Source organism: Homo sapiens, chromosome 16 (assembly GCF_000001405.40).
Source record: "Homo sapiens chromosome 16, GRCh38.p14 Primary Assembly".
Lineage (NCBI taxonomy): Eukaryota > Metazoa > Chordata > Mammalia > Primates > Hominidae > Homo > Homo sapiens.
The window spans coordinates 46,495,019-46,522,726 of record NC_000016.10 but is presented as its reverse complement, the minus strand read 5'-3'; the positions used below and the strand labels follow the sequence as shown (position 1 = coordinate 46,522,726).

The 27,708-nt window shown below is 34.8% G+C and overlaps 1 pseudogene across 1 annotated transcript in view; it reads left to right on the top strand.

The window, feature by feature from the left end:
• ANKRD26P1 (ankyrin repeat domain 26 pseudogene 1) overlaps window positions 1-27,708 on the top strand; it is a 99,761-nt pseudogene that overhangs the window by 46,371 nt on the left and 25,682 nt on the right. Inside the window, exons 9-12 of the transcript NR_026556.1 lie at window positions 4,327-4,817; window positions 16,480-16,553; window positions 21,838-22,791; window positions 24,476-24,622. The product of NR_026556.1 is annotated as an ankyrin repeat domain 26 pseudogene 1 (transcript). The remainder of the gene's footprint in view (window positions 1-4,326; window positions 4,818-16,479; window positions 16,554-21,837; window positions 22,792-24,475; window positions 24,623-27,708) is intronic.

Here is a 27,708-nt window from a genome sequence, read left to right as displayed (position 1 = left end):
CATCACTGTTATTCAAAATAGTACTGGAAGTTCTAGCCAGCACAATCAGACAAGAGAAAGATATAAGAGACATCCAATTGGAAAGGAGAAAGTCAGATTATCCTTGTTTATAGATGATATGATCTTATATGTGACAAAACCTAAAGACTCCACAAGTAAACTATTAGAACTGATAAATGAATTCAGTAAAGTTGCAAGATACAAGATTAACACACAAAAATTGGTAGCATTTCTAGATGCCAACAGTGAACAATATGAAAAAGAAATAAGAAAGTAATCTTATTTACAACAGCTACATGTAAAATTAAATACCTAGGAACTAACTTAACTCAAGAAGTGAAATATCTCTACAATGAAAACCATAAAACATTGGTAAAGAAATGGAATAGAACACCAAAAAATGGAAAATATTCTATGTTCATGAATTGGAAGAATCAATATTGTTAAAAGTTTCATACTACCTCAAAGAATCTACAGATTCAATGCAATTCTCATCAAAATATCAATTACATTCCTCATGGAAATAGAAAAAACTGTCCTAAAATTTATATGGGACCACAAAAGACCCAGAGTAGACAAAGCTATCCTATGCAAAAATAAGAAATCTGGAGAAATCACATTACCTGACTTTAAATTATACTACAAAGCTGTAATAATCAAAACATCATGGTACTGTCATAAAAGCAGACACATGGTATTGTCATAAAAGCAGACAAATGCAACAGAATAGAGAACGCAGAAACAAAGCCACATACCAATAGTGAACATATACTTGAAAAAGGCACCAAGAACATACCCTGGGGGAAAAGACAGTCTCTTCAATAAATGGTGCTGGGAAAACTGGGTATCTGTATGCAGAAGAATGAAACTAGACCACTATGTTTTTTTTTGTTTGTTTGGTTTTTTGTTTTGTTTTGTTTGTTTGTTTTTGAGATGGAGTCTGAATCTGTCACCCAGGCTGGAGTGCAGTGGCACGATCTTGGCTCACTGCAACTCTGCCTCCCGGGTTCAAGTGATTCTCTTGCCTCAGCCTCCCAAGTAGCTGGGATTACAGGCACCCACCACTATGCCTGGCTAATTTTTCTATTTTTAGTAGAGAAGGGGTTTCACCATGTTGGCCAGGCTGGTCTCAAACTCCTGACCTCAGGTAATCCGCCCACCTCAGCCTCCCAAAGTGCTGGGATTATAGGCGGGAGCCACCGCATCTCGCCTAGACCCCTATCTCTCACCATATACAAAAGCCAAATAAAAATGGATTAAAGACTTAAATCTAAGACCTCAAACTATGAAACTGGTATAAGAAAACTTTGGGGAAATCTCTAGGACAATAGTCTAAGTAAAAATTTCTTGAGCAATACTCCACAAGCACAGGCAACAAAAGCAAAAATGGACAAATGAGATCACATCAAGTTAAACAACTTCTGCACAGCAAAGGATACAGTCAACAAAATGAAGAGACAATCCACAGAATGGGAGAAAATGTTTGCAAACTACCCATCTGACAAGGGATTAATAACCAGAATATGTAAGAAGCTCAAACAACTCTATAGAAAAAATATCTAATAATCCAATCAAAAAATGGGCAAAAGATTTGAACAGACATTTCTCAAAGGAAGACACACAAATGGAAAACAGGCATATTAAAAGGTACTCAACATCATTGATCATCAGAGAAATGCAAATCAAAACTACAATGAGATATTATCTCGCCTCAGCTCAAATGGCTTATATCCTAAAGACAGGCAACAACAAATGCTGGTGAGGATGTGAAGAAAAGGGAACCCTTGTGCACTATGGATGGGAATGTAAATTAGTACAACCACTATGGAGAACAGTTCAGATATGCCTAAAAAAACTAAAAATTGAGCTACAATATGATCCAGCAATCCCACTGCTGTGTATATATCCAAAAGAAAGGGAATCAATATATCAAAGAAATAACTACACTCCTATGTTTGTTGCAGCACCATTTACAATAGCTAAGATTTGGAAGCAACCTAAGGTTCCATCAACAGATGAATGGATAAAGAAAATATGGTACAGATATACAATGGAGTACTATTTAGCCATAAAAAGAATGAGATCCAATCATTTGCACCATCGTGGATGGAACTGGAGATCGTTAAGTCGAATAAGCCTGACACAGAATGACAAACATTGCATGTTTTCATTTGTTTCTGGGTTCTAAAAATCAAAACAATTGAACTTTTGGGCATAGAGTAGAAGGATGGTTACCAGAGGCTGGGAAGGGTAGTGGGGTTTGGCAGGAGTTGGGGATGGTTAATGGGTACAAAAAATAGAAAGGATGAATATGACCTACTATTGTTAGCATAATAAGGTGAGTATAGTCAATAATAATTGTATATTTTTAAATAACTTAAAGAATGTAATTGGATTGCCTATAACTCACAGGATAAATGCTTGAGAGGATGGTTACTCCATTCTCCATGATGTGCTTATTTCACATTGCATGCCTATATCAAAACATCTCATGTATCTTATAAATATGTATTGATATTGCATAATGTACCTATTAGGTACCCACAAAAATAAATAAAAATATTAAAGTAAATGAGATAAATTCAGAAATTATTTCTGGAGGTATCCTGATTTCTAATAATATTGGTATATAATCAACACACATGCACACATCAAAATGCAATCAAAATTTATGATTTTCTAAAATAAACTACCTGTTATCATAGGATTATAAGAAAGTTAAGATTTCCAAGAAAGTATGAACAGTTATCTCTAGAAGATGATTTTCTAATTTTAAAAATATCTCTGGCAATAAAGACATTTTATGTTATTGTCAGGAAGCTTTATTAACTTTAGTATTCATAGTTGTTAAACCTTATACATAAATTCTTGCATCTCTAAAACTCAGGAATTCTGCTGACTTGATTTTTGTGTGTGGAGAATGGGGTCTTACTATATTGCCCAGGGAGGTCTCAAACACCTGGACTCAAGCTATCCTCTCACCTCTGCCTCCATAAGTGTTGGGATTACAGGAGTGAGCCACCGTGCCTGGCCTGACTTGATTTTTTAGTACCCATTTTCTCTCCTCATGTGAATATGGGGTCCTGCTTGAGCAGCATCTTGAGTTGATGTTTTAGAATTACATCTTTTCATTCAATTTAAAATGCATATTACCATAATATTTCAGAAATAAATATTTGTGTATATTAGTAAAATATATTGTATATCCTTGAAACAAATGTTGAAATATATAATAGAAATTTTGAATCTCAAGATTTTTTCTCCTCTTGTTTTCATTTTCAAAATTTCAGAAAAGTGTATAGTTTTGCATGATTTAATTCTGAGTTTAGTATAATTTAAAAATATTCCTCTTCTTCACATTGTGTGCTTTTCCTGAGTAAGGTCATCCACTCTTGCTTTCTGGGTGCCTCAAATTTGTTATGTCCCACACTGAAGACATTGTCCTTGACCCTTTCCTGATGTTTTGTAATCTACTCTGTCATCTGGTTTCATCATCCTAGGAAATAACACCTAGTAAGTAGCACTGAAACAATGAAGCAGGAAAATTTCTACCTTTCAGCCCTTTCTCAAATCATCAGTTCAGTCCCTTGCAAATTCTATATTTTCTACCTGCTAAGCATTTTTTATATCTCATTATCATAATTCACTCTCTGACTCATAATTTTGAAATACTCTTAATCTTCCCCACACCATGTTCATCTCTATCTTTTTGTTGCTGCCAAGGTGACTTTTATAAAATATATTTATAATGATATATAACTCATCTGCTTTTGAATTGTTCCCCATTGCATGATGGGGTAAGTTCACACTCTAGTGTGGCCCATATCTTGTGGTTTGGCCTGATTCTCCCATTTTATCTCTCCATTCCATTCCCTCTGACTATGTTCCACTTTTACTGCATTATTTTGGTACCCTTCATTTGCCCTGTCATTTCATGCATGCTTCTTTTGAGCATGCTTCTCTGTCTAGAAACCCTTCCTACCCTCACTGTGTACTTGGTCTATGTTTCAAAATATGGCTCTATCTTTGCAGCATTTCCTGAGCTTCCCAAGTAGAACTGATTGTTCTCTTCCTTGTGCCTGTACTTACTTTATTCACTTTAGTTGTAGAACTCATGGATTACACTTTTCTGTTTTTATTACCTTTTATATATCTCTACCCTCACTGAAATATAAGGCAGGATCTGACTTTTATTTATATTTTTAGCTTCTCCCCAAATACTGCTTATGATTTGATAAACAGCACATTTTTTTTGTCTTACTGACAGAGTGGGTGAGTGAGTAAATACAATGTTTTCTGAAGTTGCTGTTCTTTTCTTTTTAATAGGAGAAAGCAACAGAGCCAGCAAATGGAAAAAGACAAAATGGTATGGGTATTATTGAGAGTGCTCCACAAGAGCACACAAATAATGAAAACATTTAATTTTGATTCAGAAATGTTCGAGGTGGTAAGTTAGTGAATATCTCTGAAAAACAGTGTATATTAAGTATTTTCAGTAGAAAAACCACTGAACTATATAGATCCAAACATAATATTCATTTCTTTTCCACAATTTTTTTCTGTCTTTCTTTATACTACCAACTTTTTCCTAAAACTACTTCAATTCCTCAATTCCCTGAAATTCTTTTTCTTTTTCTTTTTGTTATTACTTTTGTTTCACTGAAATATTTATGGGTGAAGACAAACCTGTATAGGTATATAAAATTCATAGTGATAAATTTTCTCATGAATGTATCTGTGTATAACATTTTATAGATATGCCATTCACAGTAAAATCAGGACAAAAGGAAGACATGCAATCACATTTGGACAGCAAGGTATTATATATTGTTATTGCTGCAGTTATTATTTTAGAAAATAAGCATTCAGTGATATTACAACATAAAAGAGAATGCTTTCACTTCACTTTTGCACCTCTGCATATGCCCATAAATAATTATTTTCTGGCCAGGCAAGGTGGTTCACGCCTGTAATCCCAGCACTTTGGGAGGCCGAGGCGGGTGGATCACCAGAGGTCAGAAGTTTGAGACCAGCCTGGTCAAGATGGCAAAACCCAGTCTCTACTAAAAAAAATACAAAAATTAGCCAGATGTGGTGGTGTGCACCTGTAATCCTAGCTACTCAGGAGGCTGAGGCAGAAGAATCACTTGAACCCAGGAGGTGGAGGTTGCAGTGAGTTGAGATCGTGCCACTGCACTCCAGCCTGGTCAACAAAGCAAGACTCCGTCTCAAAAAATTTATATTCTTCCATTATCAGCCCATAATTAGTACAGTAGTTATGTACAAAGTATATCACTGCTGCATAGTACAATTCTGTTAATTTGGAGGATTCGTGTAAAAAGCCAGTGTCATATAGCGCAAAAAATATCAGGGTTAGAAGTCACAAGGAATCAGTTTGGGCTCTAAAGTTAAGTTTATCTAGAAACTAAAAAATTGTTCCATGTCGATATATGGCTGAATGCATGATTCTGTGTTCTACCTGGATGTGTAAAAGTGCTAACGAGATTCAGAGAGAAAGAGTTTGGACTGTAGTTTTGTACAACTTGAAACCTGAAAAGACAATGCCTGGGACTTAAAATACTACCGTGTTTGGATTGACTAGTATAGATCTGCAAAAAAATTTCAGAAGAAGCAAAAGCATGGGGAGTTGTAAATAAGTGAAGCTATAAACACAGTATTTTGGTTTAGTGGTGTTTTATTAAGTAGAAATCATATTTTAAAAAAGAAAACATTGAGTACCTTTATGGTAAATGAAGACTATTCTAAGGTGACAACAGTAGAAAGAGATGAAGGGGCCTGGCTTCTTAGAAGCAGTAGCTGTATTGTGATACCAGCACCAAGTTGGTCAAAAGACATGTTGTTATCCTGGTGCTTTTACTTACTAGCTATGAATTTCTGGTAAAAATTATTTAACCTATTTGAATGTCGAGTGATGCCCTTCATAAAAAGGGTACTAGTATGTACCTCTTAGGCATGTGTAATGAACAAATGTGCTAAAAAATTGGAAAGCATTTTGTAAACTTGAAAGTGTGTACACTAATGTATAATAAAGTGATCCACAGGGGTATTCGGTGGCTCAATAAGTATTGAGGATGCTTCATGTAAACTCAGAGGACAATAAAATGACAATAGCATCAAGAAAAGTTTGGGAAAGTCAGAGTGGGCATGTGGATTTCTAGTTTGGGGAACATGGAGTTTCAGCAAACTATTACTAGAGAACTCTTCTAGGAATCTAGTGGTTTGGTGCTTGAGACATTCCCATGGATATTTAAGTGTTTTGACCTTGAGTGAATTTCTGCTGTTGAGCACCAACTCTGCTAGGCAACTAGAGACTGAATATCGATGATGGGGGCTTAGGTTACAGCAGCAAGAAGAGAAAAACAAGTAAATAACCCAGTCTTATAAGTTGAATGTGCTTCCTATAAAGAAAACAGAGAAGACAGAGATTATTGGAGAGGTTTGTAGTTAGCATGGGGATGGGAGTGGCAGTAAAGTTCTATAGTCAGAGGAGATGTTTCTGCATGTGACATTGAAACTGTCAACTAAAGGATGAAAGGAGCCAGCCATGGGAAAGTCTAGGAGGAGGACATTCTGGACAGAGAGGAAACAGTGGATCTCATCTGTTCATCATGTTCTTGTTAACATCCTGGAATGACCAGAAAGTGGGGTTACCATCATCATCTTCATCATCATCATTATTTTTATTAGTATAATGTGTAGAAAAGAAAATGTGAAATTAAGTTGCCTGGCACATTTTAAATGCTTCACAAATGAATGTTCTGAATGTTCTTGTTCTGCTTTTTTTTTTTTTGAGATGGAGTTTCACTCTTCTCGCCCAGGCTGGAGTGCAATGGCGTGATATTGGCTCACTGAAATCTTCGCCTCCCGGGTTCAGGGGCTTCTCCTACCTCAGCCTTCGGAGTAGCTGGGATTACAGGAGCATGCCACCACACCCAGCTAATTTTTATATTTTTAGTAGAGGTGGGGTTTTGCCATGTTGGCCTGGTGGGTCTCCAACAGGAGTTTGAGACTGCAGGTGATCCACCAGCCACGGCCTCCCAAAGTGCTGAGATTACAGGCATGAGCCACCGCGCCCAGCCTTGTTCTGCTTTTTATACTAAGGCTTGATATACTTTGTTGAAGTTTTTTTTTACTGGGAGAGTGTTGCTTACTATATCTAATATTTGCTTACTTATATGTAGACATAAACTAAAGGTTTTCTCATTGCTTTGTGGTTGTATTCAACCATTTTTTCTATCAGTAAAAATATCAAAGACTGTGTAGATTTCTCCAAGCCCTTGTTTATCTAAATGAAGGAGCTTCTACCATGTTCTGTTTAAACGCAACATGATGTACGCCACATGTTTCTTATTGTGCTGTCTTAACATTTACATTTTCTGTAACTAGAAATCTTTTAAATATTTAGTATTAAATATTTAAATATTTAATGCTTTAAGTGTAACACCAAGTGTGTTATGTCATATTTTAAATGGTCTTTTATTTTTGGTTGGGAATGTAGGGTGGAGTTAGGAATTATGAAGTTAGTCTCTTGCTGCAATATGCACGTAAGTTATTATTTGGTCTGTGAATATATTTCTTGTAGGCTTTTAGTCTGGGTGTGCAGAGGCAGTAGCCCTGTGAAGATAAAAAATAAGTTTGATTTAGACAGCCTATCTATGTAAGGTTCTCTATTGAATAATTTAGGTTCCCAACACATGCTTTTCTTATTTTGAAGTTATCTGAATGAAAAACACCTTCTTTAAAAGAAAGTGTTTGGGAAATCTTTATGTAACTACTACTTCTTTTTCATCTTCTTGAAACTCATTGTTATTATTAATTTTTACAGAAGATCTCCAAGAATCACGCAGAGAATGGTGGCAGTCAGGTATCTGGGGCTACAGACTGTAAGACAAAATATGTAGTAAATGGGCAAGAAGAAGGTAAAAACTGTAGTCATAGAATAAGTCGATTGACAGTATGTCTCTTTAAAAACAGGAGCACTAGTATATTCTAATAGCCAGAGAAAACTTCTTAAAATGACTTCTTTTTTTTTAATTTTTTTGAGATGGAATTTCACTCTTGTTGCCCAGGCTGGAGTGCAATGGTGCAATCTCGGCTCACTGCCACCTCTGCCTCCCAGGTTCAAGCGATTGTCCGGCCTCAGCCTCCCAAGTAGTTGGGATTACAGGCACACACCACCATGTGTGGCTAATTTTCTGTATTTTTTCTATATGCTTCATTTTCATTCTTTAAGCCCTGGTGCCTGACATATAGCAGGACTCCATAAATAATGCTGAGTAAAATATATAAAGGCTGTTTATACAAAGATGATTTGCAAGTTGTCCCCTATTGTGTAGGAGCAAAGGGGATATTCATGTAAAGCAATAATGTACAGTTCAGGTGGTAAAGATTCAGTAGAAAAATTAATAAAATACTAAGGCAGCCCCAAGGAAGGAGACACCTGGTTATCTGGGGAATAAAGATATTAATTAAAAAAATCACCAGAATCAAGGAAGACTTCACATAGCCACCTGTTTTAAAAGAAGAAAATAAATTTGTCAGAATAGTAAAGGAAAACATTTCAGATATTGGGAACAGGGTGCACATCGATAAAAGTGTAAACAGTCATTTTGGAAATCATCAGTAAGGTACTACCATGAAGCAGAGAATAGTATACTGCATTACTATGTAGGGATGTTTCTACTAAATTTTTAAGTATATTTTTAATTTTTAATTTTTTGGGTACAAGGTAGGTGTAGATATGGAGTACATGAGATATTTTGATACAGGCATACAATGTATCATAATCATATCACAGTAAATAGGATATCCATCACTTCAAGGATTTATCCTTTGTGTTAAAAACAATATAATTATACTGTTTTAGTTATTTTTAAATGTACAATTAAGTTATTATTGACTTTAGTCACACTGTTGAGCTGTCAAATACTAGATCTTATTCATTCTATTTTTTGGCACCCATTAACCATCACCTCATCCTCCCCCAACACTGCCCCATCACCCTTCCCAGCCTGTGGTAATCATTATTATACTCTATCTCCATTAGTTCAATTGTTTTAATTTTTAGTTTTCAAAAATAAATGAGAATATGCAAAGTTGGTTCTTCTGTGTCTTGCTTATTTCAGTCAGCATAATGACCACCAGTTCCATCTATGCTGTTGCAAATGACAGGATGTAATTGTTTTTCATGGCCGATTAGTACTCTATTGTGTATATGTAGCACAATTTCTTTATCCATTTGTCTGTTGTGAAAGGCATAGGTTGCTTCCAAATCTTGGCTATTGTGAATGGTGCTGCAATAAACATGGGAGTGCAGATATCTCTTTGATACATTAATTTCCTTTCTTTTGGGTATATACCCAGCAGTGAGATGGCTGGATCATGTGGTAGCTCTATTTTTAGTACTCTGAGGAACCTCCAAACTATTGTTCATAGTCGTTGTACTAATTTACATCCCCACCAACAGCATACAAGGTTTCCCTTTTCTCCACATCCTTATCAGCATTTGTTATTGCCTTTCTTTTGGCTATAAGTCATGATCACTGGGGTGAGATGACATCATCTCATTATAGTTTTGATTTGCATCTCTCTGATGATCAATGATGTTGAGAAACTTTTCATATGCATGTTTGCCATTTGTATGTCTTCTTTTGAGAAATGTCTATTCAGATCTTTTGCCGATTTTTAAGTTGAATTATTAGATTTTTTCCCATATAGTCATTTGGGCTCTTTGTGTATTCTGGTTATTAATCCCTTGTCAGATGGGTAGCTTGCAAATATTTTCTCCCATTCTGTGGGTTGTCTGTTCCCTTTGTTGATTGTATCCTTTGCTGTACAGAAGCATTTTAACTTGATGTGATCCCATTTGTCTATTTTTGCTTTTGTTGCCTGTGCTTGTAGGATATTACTCAAAAAATTGTTGCCCACAATGATGTCCTGGAGAGTTTCCCCAATGTTTTCTTCTAGTAGTTTTATAGCTCGAGCACTTAGTTTTAAGTCTTTAATCTATTTTGATTTGCTTTTTGTATATGGTGAGGGATAGAGGTCTAGTTTCATTTTTCTGCATATGGATATCCAGTTTTCCCAGCACCATTTATTGAAGAGCCTATCTTTTTCCCTAGTGTGTATGTTCTTCTTCCCCAGTGTATGAACTCAAACATGAGTTCACTGTAGGTATGTGGATTTGTTTCTGGCTTCTTTATTCTGTTGTGTTAGTCTATATGTCTGTTTTTATGCCAGTACCATACTGTTTTGGTTACTATAGCTCTGCAGTATAATTTGGAGTCAGGTAATGTGATTCCTCCAGTTTCTTCCTTTTTGCTCTAGATAGCTTTGGCAATCCTGGGTCTTTTGTGGTTCCATATACATTTTAGGACAGTTTTTTTCTATTGCTATGAGGAATGTCATTGGTATTTTGATAAGGATTGCATTGAATCTGTAGATTGCTTCGGGTAGTATGAACATTTTAAAAATACTGATTCTTCCAGTTTATGAAAATGAAATATCTTTTCATTATTTGGTGTCCTGTTCATTTTCTTTCACCAAAGACTTACAGTTTTCATTGTAGAGATCTTGCACTTCTTTGATTATGTTAATTTTTAGGTATTTAATTTTATTTTTAGCTCTTGTAAATGAGATAGATTACTTCCTTGATTTTATTTTCAGATTGTTCACTTTTGGCATCTAAAAATGCTACTGATTTTTGTATGTTGACTTTGCATCCGGCCACTTTATTGAATTTATCATTTCTAATAGTTTTTTAATGAAGTGTTTAGGTTTTCCAAACATAAGATTATATTATTATATCATTTGACTTCTTCCTTTCCTATTTAGATGTTCTTCATTTCTATCTTTTGTCTAGTTGCTCTAGCTAGAACTTCCAGTACTATGTTGAATAACATTGGTGACAGTGGACATTCTTGTCATGTTCCAGATCTTAGAGGAAAGACTTTCAGGATTTCCCCATTATGATACTAGCTATGGGTCTGTTGTATATGACTTTTGTTGTGTTGAGGTATGTTCTTTCTATACCCAGTTTTTTGAGGGTTTTTATTATAAGGGGATATTGCATTTTTACCCAATGCTTTTTTTTTGTATCAGTTGAAATGATCATATGATTGTTATTCTTCATTCTATTGATATGCTATATCACATTGATTAATTTGCATATATTGAATCATCTTTTCATTCCTGAGATACATTTTACATGGTTATGAAGAATAATTTTTGAAATGTGTTGTTGAATTTGTTTTGCTAGTATTGGTTGAGGATTTTTTGCATCAATGTTTATCAGAGATATTGATGTGTAGTTTTCTTTTTTTGATGTGTCTTTGTCTCATTTTGGTATCAGGGTAATACTGGCATTGTATAATGAGTTTGGAATTATTCCCTTCTCTTCTGTCTTTCAGAATAGTTTGAGTAGCATTGGTATTACTTCTTCTTCAAATATTTGGTAAAATTTAGCAGTGAAGCCATCAGGTCCTAGGCTTTGCTGGGAGACTTCGCTGGGTCCCCTAAACTTTGCTGGCTTCAATCTCATTATTTATTCTTAGTCTGTTCAGGTTTTGGATTTATTCATGGTTTAATCTCAGTGGGTCATGTGTGTCTAGAGATTTAATCATTTATTATAGGTTTTCCAATTTATCGGCATATAGTTTTTCACAGTAGCCTCTAACAATCTTTGAATTTCTACAGAATCAGTTGTAATGACTGCTTTTCCTTTATTTTTTTTTAATTTTACTTTAAGTTCTGGGATATATGTGGAGAATGTGCAGGTTTGTTACATAGGTAAATGTGTGACACAGTGGCTTGCTGCACCTATCAAGCTGTCACCTAAGTATTAAGCCCTGCATGCATTAGCCATTTGTCCTGATGCACTCCCTCCCATCCTCCTGCTGAGAGGCCCCAGTGTGTGTTATTCCCCTCCCTGTGTCCATGTGTTCTCATTGTTTAACTCCCACTTATGAGTGAGAACATGAGATATCTGGTTTTCTGTGTCTGTGTTAGTTTGCTGAGGATGATGGCTTCCAGCTTCATCCATGTCCCTGCAAAGGACATGATCTCATTCCTTTTTCTGGCTGCATAATATTTCATGGCATATATATACCACATTTTCTTTATCCAGTCTATCATTGATGGGCATTTGGGTAGGTTTCATGTCTTTGCTATTGTGAATAATGCTGCAATAAACATAAATGTGCATGTAGCTCTATAAAAGAATGATTTATATTCCTTTGAGTATATACCCAGTAATGGGATTGCTGGGTCAAGTGGTATTTCTGGTTCTAGATCGTTGAGGAATCGCCACACTGTCTTCCACAAGGGCTGAACTAATTTACATTCCTACCAACAGTGTAAAAGTGTTCCTATTTCTCCACAGCCTTGCCAGCATCTGTTGTTTCTTGACTTTTTAATAATCGCCATTCTGACTGGCATGAGATGGTATCTCATTGTGGTTTTGATTTGCATTTCTCTAATGATCAGTGATGTTGAGCTTTTGTTTCATATGTTTGTTGGCTGCATAAATGTCTTCTTTTGAGAAGTGTGTGTTCATGTTCTTTGCCTACTTTTTGATGGTTTTTTTTTTTTCTTGTAAGTTTGTTTAAGTTCCGTGTAAATTCTGGATATTAGACCTTTGTCAGATGGGTAGATTGCAAAAATTTTCTCCCATTCTGTAGGTTGCCTGTTCACTCTGATGATAGTTTCTTTTGCTGTGCAGAAGCTCTTTAGTTTAATTAGATCCCATTTGTCAATTTTAGCTTTTGTTGCAATTGCTTTTGGTGATTTCGTCATAAAATTCTTGCCCATACCTACTTTCTGAATGGTATTGCCTGGATTTTCTTCTAGGGTTTTTATGGTTTTGGGTTTTACATTTAAGTGTTTAATCCATCTTCAGTTGACTTTTGTATAAGGTAAGGAAAGGGGTCCAGTTTCAGTTTTCTGCATATGGTTAGCCAGTTTTCCTAGCACCTTTTATTAAATAGGAAATCCTTTCCCGATTGCTTGTTTTTGAATGACTATTTTTTCATCTCTGATTTTATTTATTTGGGTCTTCTCTCTTTTTTCTTAGTCTGACTAAAGGTTTGTCAATTTTATGTAACTTTTCAAAAAATCAAGTTTTTGTTATGTTGATTTTTGTATTGTTTTGTTTGCTTTAATTTCATTTATTTCTGTTCTGATCTTTGTTATTTCTTTTCTTCTGCTACCTTTGGGTTTGGTTTGATCTTGCTTTTCTAATTCTTTAAGATGCAACGTTAGGTTGTTTACTTAATGTTTTGTCTCCTTTTTGATGCAGGCACTCATAGCTGTACTCATCTCTGTTAGCACTGCTTTCACAGTATCATATAGGTTTTGGTTCTTGTTCCATTATTAAGAAAAAGTTTCAATTTATTTTCTTAATCTCTTCATTGACTCACAGGTTATTCAGCAGCATGTTATTTAATTTCCATGTGCTTGTGTAGTTTCCACAATTCCTCTTGTTATTGATTTTTAGTTTGAGTCCATTGTGGTCCCACAAGATACTTGATAGTTTCTATTTTTTGAGGGTTTTAAGACTTGTTTTTTGGCCTAACATATGGCCTGTTCTTGAGAATGATCCACGTACTGAGAAGAAGAATGTGTATTTTGCAGCCGTTGGATGAAATGTTCTGTAAACATTTATTTGGTCCACTTGGCCTATAGGGCAGATTAAGTCTGATGTTTCTTTGTTGATTTTCTATCTGGATGATCTGTGAAATTCTGAAAGTGGGGTATTGAAGCCTTCAGCTAATATTGTATTGAGGGTGTGTTCTCTGTCTCTCTTTAGCTCTAGTAACATTTGCTTTATTTATCTAGGTTTTCCAGTGTTGGGTGCATATATATTTAAAATTGTTATATCCTTTTGCTAAAATGACCCCTTTATCATGATACAGTTCCCTTTTTTGTCTCTTGCAGTTTTTTTCTTGAAGTCTATTTTGTCTGATATAAGTATATATCTACTGATTCTCTTTTTTAGTTTTCATTGGCAGGGAATATCATATGTCATGTTTTTATTTTCAGTCTATGTGTAGGCAAAAGATCATTGGGTCTTGTTTATTTTTAATTCATTCATTCTATTTATGTATTTTGATTGGAGAGTTTAGTTATTTATATTCAATGTTGTTATTGATAAGTGAGGACTTACACCTGTTAGTTTGTAATTTATTTTCTAATCATTCTGTAGTCTTCTCTTCCTTCTTGTCTTCCTTTTAGTAAAGGTGATTTTCTCTGTTGGTATGTTTTAATTTCCTGCTTGTGTGTGTGTGTATCCATTGTATGTTTTTAGATTTAAGGTTACTATGAGGATTTCAAACCTACTTAAGATAGGAGTAGTTTACATACCCTAATTAAAGTGTTGTGATATTCTATGTTTGTCTGTGTACTTACTATTATCAGTGAGTTTTGTAAGATTCATTGATTTCAGGTTGTTTCTTATTGCTCATTAACATTCTTTTGTTTCAGATTGAAGAACTCTCTTTAGCATTCCTTGTGGGACAGGTCTGGTATTGATTAAATTTCTCAGCCTTTGTTTGGGAAAATCTTTATTTCTCCTTCATATTTAAAAGACATTTGTACTGGATATACTATTCTAAGATAAAAGTGTTTTTCCTTCAGCACTTTAAATATGTGTCATAATATGTCATGCCACTCTCTCCTGGCCTGTAAGCTTTCCACCAAAAAGTCTACTTCCAGTTGTATTGCAGCTCCATCGTATGTTATTTGTTTCTCTTTGCTTGATGCAGGGATAAATGACCCTTTCTTTATTTTTGATCATTGTAAGTTTGATTATTAAGTTCCTTGAAGTAGCCTTCTTTGGGTTAAATCTGCTTGGTTTTCTCTAACCTTCTTGGACTTGAATATTGATATATTTCTTGAAGTTTAGGAAGAACTTTGTATTTCTTTGAATAAACTTTCTTCTCCCATCTATCTCACTTCCTCCTCTCTAAGGCCATTAACTCTTGGAATTGCTTTATTAGGCTATTTTCTAGATCTTGTAGGCATGCTTCATTCTTTTCTATACCTTTTTCTTTTGTATCTTCTGACTGTGTTTTCTCAAGTAGCCTATCTTCAGGCTCACTGGTTCTGTCTTCTACTTGATCAGTTCTGCTATTAAGGGACTCATGCATCCTTCAGTACATCAATTGCATTTTTCACCTTCAGAATTTCTTCTTGATTCTTTTTAATTATTTCAATCTCTTTGCTAAATTTATCTGATAGAGTTCTGGAATTTTTTTCTTTGTCTTATCTTGAATGTTTTTGAGTTTCCTCAACACAGCTGTTTTGAATTACCTGTCTGAAAGGTCATATATCTCTGTCTCTCTAGAATTGGCCCCTGGTGCCTTATTTAGTTCACTTGGTGAGGTCATGTTTTCCTGGATGGTCTTTATGTTTGTGGATGATTGTCTGTGTCTGGGCATTGAAGAGCTTTGTGTTTATTGTAATCTTCACAATCTGGACTTGTTTGTACTCATTCTTCTTGAGAAGGCTTTCCAAGTACTAAAAGGGACTTGGGTATAGTGTCTATGCTTTTGGTCACTGCACCCATATCTGCATTAGGGGTCAGGGAACCTAAGCCCAGTAATTCTGTCATGTTTGCAGCCTCATAGAGACATGCTTTTGGTGGTTGTTCAATAAGAGCTGGAAGAAGTCTCTGAATTACCAGACATAAACTCTCGTTCTCTTCCCTTACTATCTCCTAAACAAATGGAGTCTGTCTCTGTGCTGCCTGGGGCTGGGGGAGGATTTATATAAGCACCTCTGTGTCCACCACCACTGGGATTTCACTGCATCAGACTGCTCAAGCCTGTAGGGCTCCCAATCAGCTGGTGGTGAAGTCAGCCAGTCTTATGTCCTTCCATTCAGGGTAGTGAGAGTCCCTTCAGGCCCCAGGTGGGGCCACAGATACTGTCCGGGAGCCAGGGCCTGAAGTTGGAAACCTTAGAAATCTACCTGGTGCTGTATTCTACTGCAGTTAAGCTGGCACTGAAACCACAAGACAAAGTCCTTTCCACTCTTCCCTCCCATTTCCCCAGGCAGAGGAATATCTTCCCATGTCCACCACCACCACAGACCTAGGAGGAGTCCTGCCGGGGTATCACCAATGTTCACTTAAGGCCCCAGGGCTCACATTTTAAAATTTTATTTTCTTTGTGATGATTTTCTTTATTTATGTTTGGTAGATACATTTGTGAGTGAATGTTTGACATGTGTGTTTATCTTCAACCTGGTGACATCTAGTGTCTCCCCAGGTGGTTTCTTGAAGTTTTAAGACTTAGGAGTATTTATTAAAGAAGTAAATATCCTGCTAAAGATTAAGCTTCCTTTAAATTCACAACTTATAGAATAAAATGAAATATTAGTTTTAATCTGTTTTCATAAAGACTATAGTTTAATCTACCTGTTGTGAGTAGTTCATTTTAACTAAATGTATAATTTTTTCAGCAGAACAAGTCTTAGCAGTGATATCAGAGGAAGAGCAAGAAAGACTTGAAGAAAGTGAAAACAACGAGCTACAAGTATACAACAATTTCATTTAAATTTCTTGTTGACTATTATGTTCTTTGCTTTAATAATGTAGGGTAGTCCAAATGAAATTACCTTTCAGATTAGCCTTTGATAACAATAGATTCTAATTTACTATTTAGTATTGAATTTTAAATACATTTAACTAGCTATAAAACTTAAAAGATTTTTAAAATCTATAGTAACTTATAGCTCATCTTTACCCTTGGAATAGAGAGAAAACATTTTCAAAATTTTCTTTACTCTTTCATCTCTATTAACATGTTTGCATGATGAAGAAAGTAACATGAATTATTAAATCATATTATTGAGCAACAGAAGTTATGAACAATTTAAGGGTGATGGCCATTGAGTTGGATTCATGTTAAAGGAGTCATGATGGCCAGTGGTTCAAAATGTGCAGTTTTATATTGCCAGTCACTAATGCCAAGGTTAAAGATGTATTCTGCCTCACGGTCTCTCATTGACTTCAGGTCATGTTTAGGAAGAAACCTGGGTCATAAAATCAACCTAACTGTTTATTAAGAGAACCATACTCTGCAGAATGGGACCTTTGGTATTAGGATATGAACAATAACTTTCTAACTTATTTCAATGCAGGAAGTCAGTAAATAGTATAAAATTTTTAATCCATCATCATTGGTGGATATTAGAATATATTAGAACTGGACTTAAGCAGACTTAACCGGATACATCAGAGTGTCATATTACAGAATATAATTTGAATTATAATTTGAGAATTTGCTTTTCTTTCTGATTTGTATTGATTTTGGCTTCTAACAAAGTTTGCCTACAGTCCAGTTAGTAATCTTTAGAAAAAGTACTTAAATGCACCGCATGTGCTCACTAATTAGTGTATGCTGAGGTAAAATCTTTTCAAGTGAGGACACTTTTGTAACACTACTAACCATCTGCTAATTCATGTTTTGGTAGATATAACACAAAATGAATTTAGTCCAAACAACAGTGCCAAAGTTAAGTTTGCTGGTTTGTTTTTTTCTTGTAGTTTTAGCTAAGGCAAATTACTTTTTACTTCTCCCTGTGATTTGGGAGAAGCTAAACATACATGAAGAAGTTTAACAATTAAATTTTAATTTTAATTAAATTTTTTTCTTTATACTTTATTGAGAATAAAGTTATTTTAAAAACATGCTCCCTGCTGGGCACAGTGGCTAATGCCTGTAATCTTAGTATTTTGGGAGGCTGAGGTGGGAGGATTGCTTCAGCCCAGGAGTTCAAGACCAGCCTAGGCAGCATGGTGATGCCCCATCTCTACAAAATTTTTTAAAAAAATTAGCTAAGCATGGTAGTATGTGCATGTGTTTCCAGCTATATGGGAGGCTGAGATGAGAGGATCACTTGAGCCCAGGAGGTTGAGGCTGCAATGAGCCACGTTTGCACCACTGCACTCTTAACTTATGCAACAGAGTGAGACCATGACAATTAATTGTTTGAAAATGAATATGTATAGCAGATGGTGTTGGTAACTGGTGCACCTGGGGGAATTTTTTCAAAATTGTTCTGAGTCTATTTTGTCTGTGTTTAAATGTTGGAAGGTTTTGTTTTTTGTTTTACAATTCAAAATGCATTTCATTTTTATTTACAACCAATTTTTACAATTCATTTTTGCTTTGTGCTATTAATAATAATGAAATGTTAGAAACAATAGCATGCCCAATAGTAGGCAACTAAGTAAATGATAGTCCGATAAAATAGAGTATATGAGCGAAATTGTATGTAATCATTAATTATGACCTTGGAGAAATTACCCATTGCCTTAGAAAGATATTCATGAAAATAAACCAAATTATATGTATGATAAAAAAATAAATAAAAACAAAAACATGCACTCTGACAAAGATAACTTCTGAGAAACAAAACAAGCAAATTAATCTTCCCCTTTTGCATCTGCCAAAAATATCTCAAGAACAAGAATAAAATAAGGATTGGATAGAGAGGATATGTCTGTATATTCAGGACTGTTTTGTGTAAAAGTCTGAGGAAATGTGTATTAAATGAGGCAAATTAGAGTGGGAAAATAAATTAAAACTTCTCACAAATGAGTTAAATCAGAGGTTTGGTGAAATCTGTGAAAAATACAAATTACTGCTTTTTCTGAAGCCACTCCATGATAGCTCAAAAGGAGAAACAAACATAAAGGAAATTCCTTCCAATTGGACAAATAATATACTTGTGAGGGAAAAAGATGCATCTGGAGTGTCTGTCTTTGTAGCCTTCCAGGCATTTTGTTGAACACATGGAACCCAGTCTCAAAAATGTGTGTATATCTCATTCATGTTCTGGGTTTTTGGTACATGTTTGCCAGGAATCTTCTAAGCTTTATTTAAATGAAAATAAATTAGACTGTGAAAATAACAAACCAGATAATGAACATGTTTTTAACATAGATGAGGAGAATTTTTATAATGATAGAGACTCTAAGAAAGCAAGGAACCGTGAGCCGAGATCGTGCCATTGCACTCCAGCCTGGGCAACAGAGCGAGACTCCTCAAAAAAAAAAAAAAAAGAAAAAAAAGAAAGCAAGGGACCCAGAAGTTGTTACAATGGAAATGAAAGAAAGTCAAGAGTTTGATATGCAAATGATGAAAAAATATGACCAAGATACCATGAGGCACCAAATTAGACATCAGGCATATGCCTCTACCTAGTGATCCAAAATGTTTTTTAGATTCATGGGGTACCCCCTCCAGAGAGATAAAACATGATTCAAATTAAAGGAGTGAGCTGAGTCGCACCACTGCACTCCAGCCTGGGCGACAGAGCGACACTCCATCTCAAAAAAAAAAAAAAAAAAAAAAAAAAGCCACAGTATTTCTGCAGATATAGACACTTAGAAGAAAATAAAAGCAATACAGGACTTGTTCCAGAAGCCATTCTGTGACAGTCTCAGTGCTAGCAACTATAAAATCATGGTGCCTGAATTAGAAAATGTGAGTTCTTTACCACTACATCATGACAGAACATCAAAAATATATCTACAAGGAAAATGACAGCAAGATATGCAAAGGTTTAAGAATGAAGTAGACATATTACAAGTAGAGTTCCTGGAGGTTTACTTGTTGCTACTCTTTGTTTTTTCTCTTTATCAATTATCTGATCCATTCTGAGTTACTACTGATGAGAAACTCATGTGTAAAATAGGGTTATCTAAATCTGTAATTGTACATAGAAATAGATTATTTCTGCTATCTAAATGATAGAAGTTCAGAAAAACTTTCTCTAATCTTTGTACCTTGATCAAGCAAAGTCTGTTAAGTTTTCCAAGTGGTATAAGAAATCATAAACTAATTTATCCGTATGCCTATGTCCTTCAGAACCAGGATAAGCATAAAGAAAATTGCTTAAAATTATAGCCCTAGGGTTGTCCCTTCTATTTACATAAAGATGAGATGTGTTTAGCAATAAAATGGGAATACAATGGGAAGGAAGAAATAACGGAAAAGAGAGATAAAAATGTGTTAGTCTTGAGAGTTGTAAGAAATATTCGTGGCCAATGAAACTGTTTCTTGTGCTTTCATGTTTTGTAGTGTATCTGTTTAACTGCAACTCTTGCAACATATAATTATATTATAAGCATTTTAAATATTTTTGAGAAGTATATATACTTTCACATATTTTTAATAACTCTCAAATGTTTCTGTTGAGTCAGACCTCTACATTCTATTGTTTGATAGAGTATGGTGAGTTATGGCATATATGATATTTTTATATAAGTAGCATAAATCCTCAGCCAAAAATTTAGTATATGACTTTAAAGTAGAAAGCTGAGCTCTAGACAGATAAAAAAGAAAGATAAAAGACAGTGGGGAAAAGAATAGCTTAGTGCACAAAGGGTGAAGCTTCCTTTCTGTTCCTGAAGCTCCACAATGTCGCATCCTCTAAATCTGGCTGTTTAAAATCCAAGTTGTAAAGAAGGAAGAAGACAATTTTTGTCTTTGTCTTTTATGAGGTGGTGGTGGTGGTTCTGGCCTTTGGCCCACTGAATAAAATGATGTTCTCTTAATTTAATGCCATTTGTCTGCAATGGTCAAGTAGTGATATTCATATTGCCCTCATGAAAAGCAGAAGCATTTGATACTTTCCATAGGAATTAATGATCTTTCTATAATGTCAAAACCCTTGCTACTAACAAAACATGTTCTAGTTGTTGAAAGTTATTTAATCTTATTTTTATATTAATGGAGGGGTTAGTTTATTACTTCCACTGATTGGTAAGAAGAAAATGTATAGGCAGTTCAGAGACCATATTTTGGATGTTCTTCTTTTTACTTTTGAGAAGATTAACAGTCTGCTCCAATAGTGTCTAATTTGAGTACAAAGAGTTTGAACACAATGTTGTGCCACAATATAAACTAGTGATAATTTGCTAATATGTATTTCGTTCCTAGTAAAATAGTTCAGTATATTTCCCCCATTTCACATTTATTACTCTTTCAAACATCATAAAGAGGAAATAGAAGTTATTGCAATGGCAAATGATTTTATGACTCTCTAAGCAAAGCTCTATAATTTTATCTTATTTACTATTGGTGTTTTGAAATAAAAAGGCTTCTTTTTGTATTTATTTATACTAAAGAAATAAATGTGATTTGGTGGAGGCGCACTAGAAGTAGAGTTAGAAAACCTAGGGAAAATTCTGCAGCTTGCTTATTTTTTGACCACTCCTTTGCAGAATTGTGATAATTGAGTTCAGTGACATATGTAGAAGTGCTTAGTGAAATGCTTATATTTAGCGTTTATGCACGTATGTCATTCTTAGAACTGACTATAAAAATGGTACAAAAATACTATATCTGTAGGATATTCTCAGGAAAAAGGAGCTTAAAGGACATTGGGAAATTTCATCTGTCCAAATATATGCAGAGCTAAGGCTCTTAGTATATGGTGGTATATAGGTTAGATATCAGAGTGTAAACCCAATATTTAATGTAGTAAATTTTTTTAATCTTTTATTTTATGCCTTTGGGTTTGTTGTTGTTCTGAGAAAGGTTTTTCCATTTCTGGGAACCTTACACATTCTCTAGTGGTTTCTCTTTTACTTTTATGGATTCATTGTCTTTAAATAAATCTTTGACCTTTGGAGAATTTATGCTCTATGAGGTTTGAAGTTTTAATTTAACTTTTTTTTCCCAGTTAGATATTCATTCATGGCAATGCTTTCATTGTATAAATGTGCAGGATATTCTTTAATTTCAGAGAAAGTAATGAAATGTCATTGTATTGAATGTTAGCTAAAAGTTTCCTTTGTTTATTTAGATTTCTCATGGGCATAAGAAAGAAAAAGATCTGTTGCATAAAAATTGCATGTTGCAGGAAGAAATTGCAAGGCTAAGACTGGAAATAGATGCACTGAAAAATTGGAACCAGCAAAAGGAAAAGAATTTTCTTGAGGACATTAAAATTGCGAAAGAAAAGAATGATTTCCTTCAAAATGCTTTGATGCTGAAAGAGGAAACATTTGCAACAATGATATTCCAGGACAGTATACAGCCTGAAGTTTTGAAAGCTGAGAATGAAATGTCCAGTTTTAAATTGAAGGATAAAAGCCAAAACCAGGAGAGACTGGAAAGAGAAATTGAATCATATCGTTGTAGACTGGCTGCTGCTCTACAAGACCGTGATCAAAGTCAGGCATCAAAAAGAGATGTAGAATGTGATTTCCAGAGGACAAGAGAAGAGTGGTTTCATTTAAAGGAAAAAATGAATTTTGATATGAGTAACCTAAAAGATAAGAATGAGCTGCTTTCTGAAAAACTTTCTAATGCTGAAAATAAAATCAGAAGCCTCAAAATGAAGTGGCACCAGACAAAAGATGCTCTAAAGGAAAAGACATTGGTTTTAGAAGATGTCCAAAGAGACCTAACCCAATCACAATGTCGGAGGAAAGAAATTGAACAAATGTTTCAGAATGAAGAAGACAAAGTGAGTAAATACATTCAAAAGCAAGAATCTCTAGAGGAGAGATTATCTCAAATACAAAACGAAAATCTGTTACTTCGACAGCAACTGGATGAGGCTTACAAGAAAGCCGACAATCAAGAAGAGACAATAATTAATATCCAAGAGCAATTTAATGCTATTGTCAAAAATCAAGCTCAGAGTGAAGAGCAAAGTCTTCTACTAGAGCAGAAAAACAACAACTTGATCAATAAATGCGATTTCATAAAAAAAAGATTGTATAAATATGAAAAAGAGAAAGCAGAAAGAAATGTAAGTATTGAGAAAGAAAATATTTTTCAAACTTCTTGAAAGAAAATGTAAAGTAATATTTGGTTTTTGCTAAATGATGAGTCTCATTGAATATAAAAATATATGTATTATAAACATATTTGCTTTATCAGCCTAGAAACATGCCAGCAAAAAAAGTTAGACTGGAAAGATGCTTTGAGTAAAGAAACAGTGTCACCTATGAAACATTGAGAGGTTAAGTTACAAGTTGTTAATAGATAGAGACTAATATCAATAATGTAGTCTTACACTGCTGAAATAATACCTTTTTTTTAAAATTTGAGACAGAGTCTCATTCTGTTGCCCAGGCTGGAGTGCCGTGGCACGATCTTTGCTCAATGCAACCTCCGCTTCCCGGGTTCAAGCGATTCTCCTGCCTCAGCCTAACGAGTAGCTGGGATTACAGGCACGCGCCACCACGCCCGGCTAATTTTTCTATTTTTAGTAGAAACGGGGTTTTGCCATGTTGGCCAGGCTGGTCTCAAACTCCTGACCTCAGGTGATCCACCCACCTGGACCTCCCAAAGTGCTGGGATTACAGGCGTAAGCCACCGCAACGGGCCTGAAATAATAATTTTAATGTCTTTATGTGGCCACATTTTGAGACCATGATGAAACAGATAAATGGAAATGCTCATACCTGAAATGAATATTTTGAAATTAAGATTCAATTTGGTGGGTGATTTCGACAGTTAGGTCCAGATTTCCCAGGTGAACTGAAGCGTACTGCTGTATCTCATAAGACTTTCCCTCAGGAGCTTCTTATATATTGAAGTTGGTGTAATTTTATTTTTATTCATGTCAGTTTGACTTAAATCTGAAACTATTTCATTATTGTCATGACCTCTCAACTCTTTGACGGCATTCACTTTTAATTAAATATAATTTGGGACGGATGTGAGTATCAGTAAAACCATATTTGATTTACTCTTACCACTGGCATTTGTAATTTATTTCGAATGTTTTTACAAGTAATTTGTGCATAATTTTTATTTCAAGACTCAATGACTAATTTCATTTGGATATAACTTTGTCCAGTACAAAGATAATTGTAGCAATCTGAGATTTCTTTGTTTGGCATTGGGTCCCCATGTTCAAACTAACGAGGGGTGACAGGATTCACACATAGTGGGAATGGAGTGAGTAGGGGAGAGAGTGTAGGAGCTGAGATCAGGGAGGTGGAGGCAAGATTATCAAGGGCCTCAAAGGCCATTGAAATTTTAGTTTTATTTCGATACAGCAATCTATTGGAAGGATTTGAGCAGGCAATTGAATAAATGAGGAATTGTGAAGTTGATTTGAACTTCTAATAAAGAAGAGAGAAAACATTTCAGAGTATAGAATTTACCACCACTAGTCTCACTCACATACCCATTTCTTTCTGAGACTTCAGTAGATGATTAAGCATTGCAAACTTAGGTGATGAATGTATAATGGGCTGTATCTGTTGTCTAAGTTACAGAATACTGATTTGGTGGGAAAATAGCACCTTTTCTGTCCTTAACTGAATTCAGTATTGAACAGGAATGTTCATTACACATGCGGAAAAGTAGGTGAATCAATGTATGTGGTAATATTTTTCAAAGTATTTATGTTAGAGTTAAATTCTATGACCATCATTTAATAACAAGGTGACATAAAATCAATAACAAAAATATCTTTACAGGAAATTATGAGACAACTTCAACAAGAACTGGCTGATACTGTAAAAAAACAACCTATATCAGAGCCTCCACTAGAGGCTACACCATGTTATGTTAATTTAGATGAAACACAGGCCTCAAAGAGGAAATCAGATCAAATCAGAAGTCAAGTATGTATAAAATGTAACATGTCAACAGTTAGTCTATAGCTGGTTAAATAATATGAAGTGTTTTAGTATACTAATTTCAGTGAACAGCTTTCTTTTTTGTTTTCATTATAATTAATTTTATTACAATTTTATTATCATTATAATGTACTTATTTCTTAACCTCTTGACTTTTATTCTGTCATTTTTTCCTCTTAAGTATGTACATATTTTTCTTATAATATTTACCTTCAGGAAAAGTTGAGAATTAGACATCATTTCTCACAAAAGTTGAGAGACTTTTTTTCTGTGAAACAGTAATTTTTAGTGATTTTTCTCTATTGCCATGATGAGGCACACGAGATTAAATCAGAGGATAATGTTTATTTCAGAAAATTGTCTTATTTCTTATCTTTACTTTTGTGAATGGGTACAGAATCTCTGTATATTTATTTCATGTATTTCAGGATAACATGTACAGGAAAGACTGTTATACTGGTCTTCAAAATACAAATGTTTTAGATTAGTTTACAAACTACTTGAAATGTTAGGCATTTCCTTCCTATTTTGTTTCTTTTAAATATATTGTAAAACAGAAATATTCAGATCATGTATAGTATATAATCCAAAGTAGAGAAGTAGGAAATTTATCAAAATCCTGCCATTTGATTTTTAAAAACAACTTTATTAAGATACAATTCACCTACCATACAGTTCATCTGTGTAAAGTGTACAATTCACAGTTTCTTAGTATATTCACACAGTTGTGTAACCATTGCCACCATCAATTTTAGAACATTTTTATGACCCTGAAAAGAAACTCTGCATCCCTAAGCTATCATTGACCAGTTTCCCCCTTTTTACTCAGCTCCAGGGAACCACCAGTCTCCTTTGATTGTATAGATTTGTCCATTCTGGATGTTTTCTATCAGTGGAAGCACACAATATGTGGTCTTTTGTGACTTTTTTTTTTCACTTAGCGTAAGATTTTAAGGGTTTTCTGTGTGGTAGCAGGTATCAGTACTTAATTTCTTCTAATTGCTGAGTAATATTCCATTGTGTGAATATACCAATCATTTTATTTATCCATTCATCAATTGTTGGACCATCGGGTTGTTTCCAGTTTGGACTGTTATTAACAAAGCTGCCGTGAACTTTTATGTAAAAGTGCTTGTGTTTGCATATGTTTTCATTTCTGTTGGGGTTATACTTATGAGTGGAATTGCTGAGTCATGTGTTAACTCTTTGAGGAGCTGCCAGTCTGTTTTCCAAAGTGGCTGCACCATTTTACATTCTTCTCAGCATCATGAGGGTGTTCTAATGTCTTCATACCCTTGCCAAAATTTTCCATATTTTTGATTGAGAAAAGATTTCATTCTAGTAGTGCTATGTGGTACTTTATTGTGGTTTTGATTTGCATTCTTCTAATGACTAATGACTTTAAGCATCTTTTTATGTGCTTATGAACCATTTGTATATCTTCTTTGGAGAAATATCTATTCAAATCCTTTGCCCATTTTTAAATTGGTTTTTTATTTCTAAATTTTAAGAGTTGTTTTTATATCCTAGGTGTAAGTCCCTTATCAGATGCATGATTTTCAAATATTTATTTCTACTCAATGGCCTTCCTCTTTGCTTTCCTGATGGTTCCTGCTCAAGTTCCAAATTTTGATCAAGTCCAGTTAATCTATTTTTCCTTTTGGTGTTATGTCTAAGAAACCACTGGCAAATGCAGTCACAAAGATTTATGCCTGTGTCTTCATCTAAGAATTTTATAGTTTTAGCTCTCACATTTAGCTGTTCTATTTTGAATAAATGTTTAGATATGGCATTTGGTGAGATGATACCATTTGTTGAAAATACTATTCTTTTCTCATTTGCTTTTTAACTCTTGTTGAAAATCAATTGAACACAAACATACAGATTTAATTTTGGATTCTCAATTCCAATATGCTGGTCTATGTCTATCCTTGTGCAGTAACATGTCTTGCTCAATTTGTATGATATGGAGAAGCATTTTGTTACAAAATAAAGATGAGATGGTCTCACCTTCTTCATACAAACAGGCTCAAAGTAAGGTAAAGGGGAAATTGTACTTAATTTCTTTTTTTTATTTTTATTTTTTATTTTATTATTATTATTATACTTTAAGTTTTAGGGTACATGTGCACAACATGCAGGTTTGTTACATATGTATACATGTGCCATGTTGGTGTGCTGCACCCATTAACTTGTCATTTAGCATTAGTATATCCCTAATGCTATCCCACCCCCCTCCTCCCACCCCACAACAGGCCCCGGTGTGCGATGTTCCCCTTCCTGTGTCCATGTGTTCTTCTTGTTCAATTCCCACCTATGAGTGAGAACATGCGGTGTTTGGTTTTTTGTCCTTGCCATAGTTTGCTGAGAATGATGGTTTCCAGCTTCATCCATGTCCCTACAAAGGACATGAACTCATCATTTTTTAAGGCTGCATAGTATTCCATGGTGTATATGTGCCACATTTTCTTAATCCAGTCTATCATTTTTGGACATTTGGGTTGGTTCCAAGTCTTTGCTATTGTGAATAGTGCTGCAATTAACATATGTGTGCATGTGTCTTTATAGCAGCATGGTGTATAATCTTTTGGGTATATACCCAGTAATGGGATGGCTGGGTCAAATGGTATTTCTAGTTCTAGATCCCTGAGGAATCGCCACAGTGACTTCCACAATGGTTGAAGTAGTTTACAGTCCCACCAGCAGTGTAAAAGTGTTCCTATTTCTCCACATCCTCTCCAGCATCTATTGTTTCCTGACTTTTTAATGATCACCATTCTAACTGGTGTGAGATGGTATCTCATTGTGGTTTTGATTTGCATTTCTCTGATGGCCAGTGATGAGCATTTTTTCATGTGTTTTTTGGCTGCATAAATGTCTTCTTTTGAGAAGTGTCTGTTGATGTCCTTTGCCCACTTTTTGATGGGGTTGTTTGTTTTTTTCTTGTCAATTTGTTTGAGTTCATTGTAGATTCTGGATATTAGCCCTTTGTCAGATGAGTAGGTTGCAAAAATTTTCTCCCATTTTGTAGGTTGCCTGTTCACTCTGATGGTAGTTTCTTTTGCTGTGCA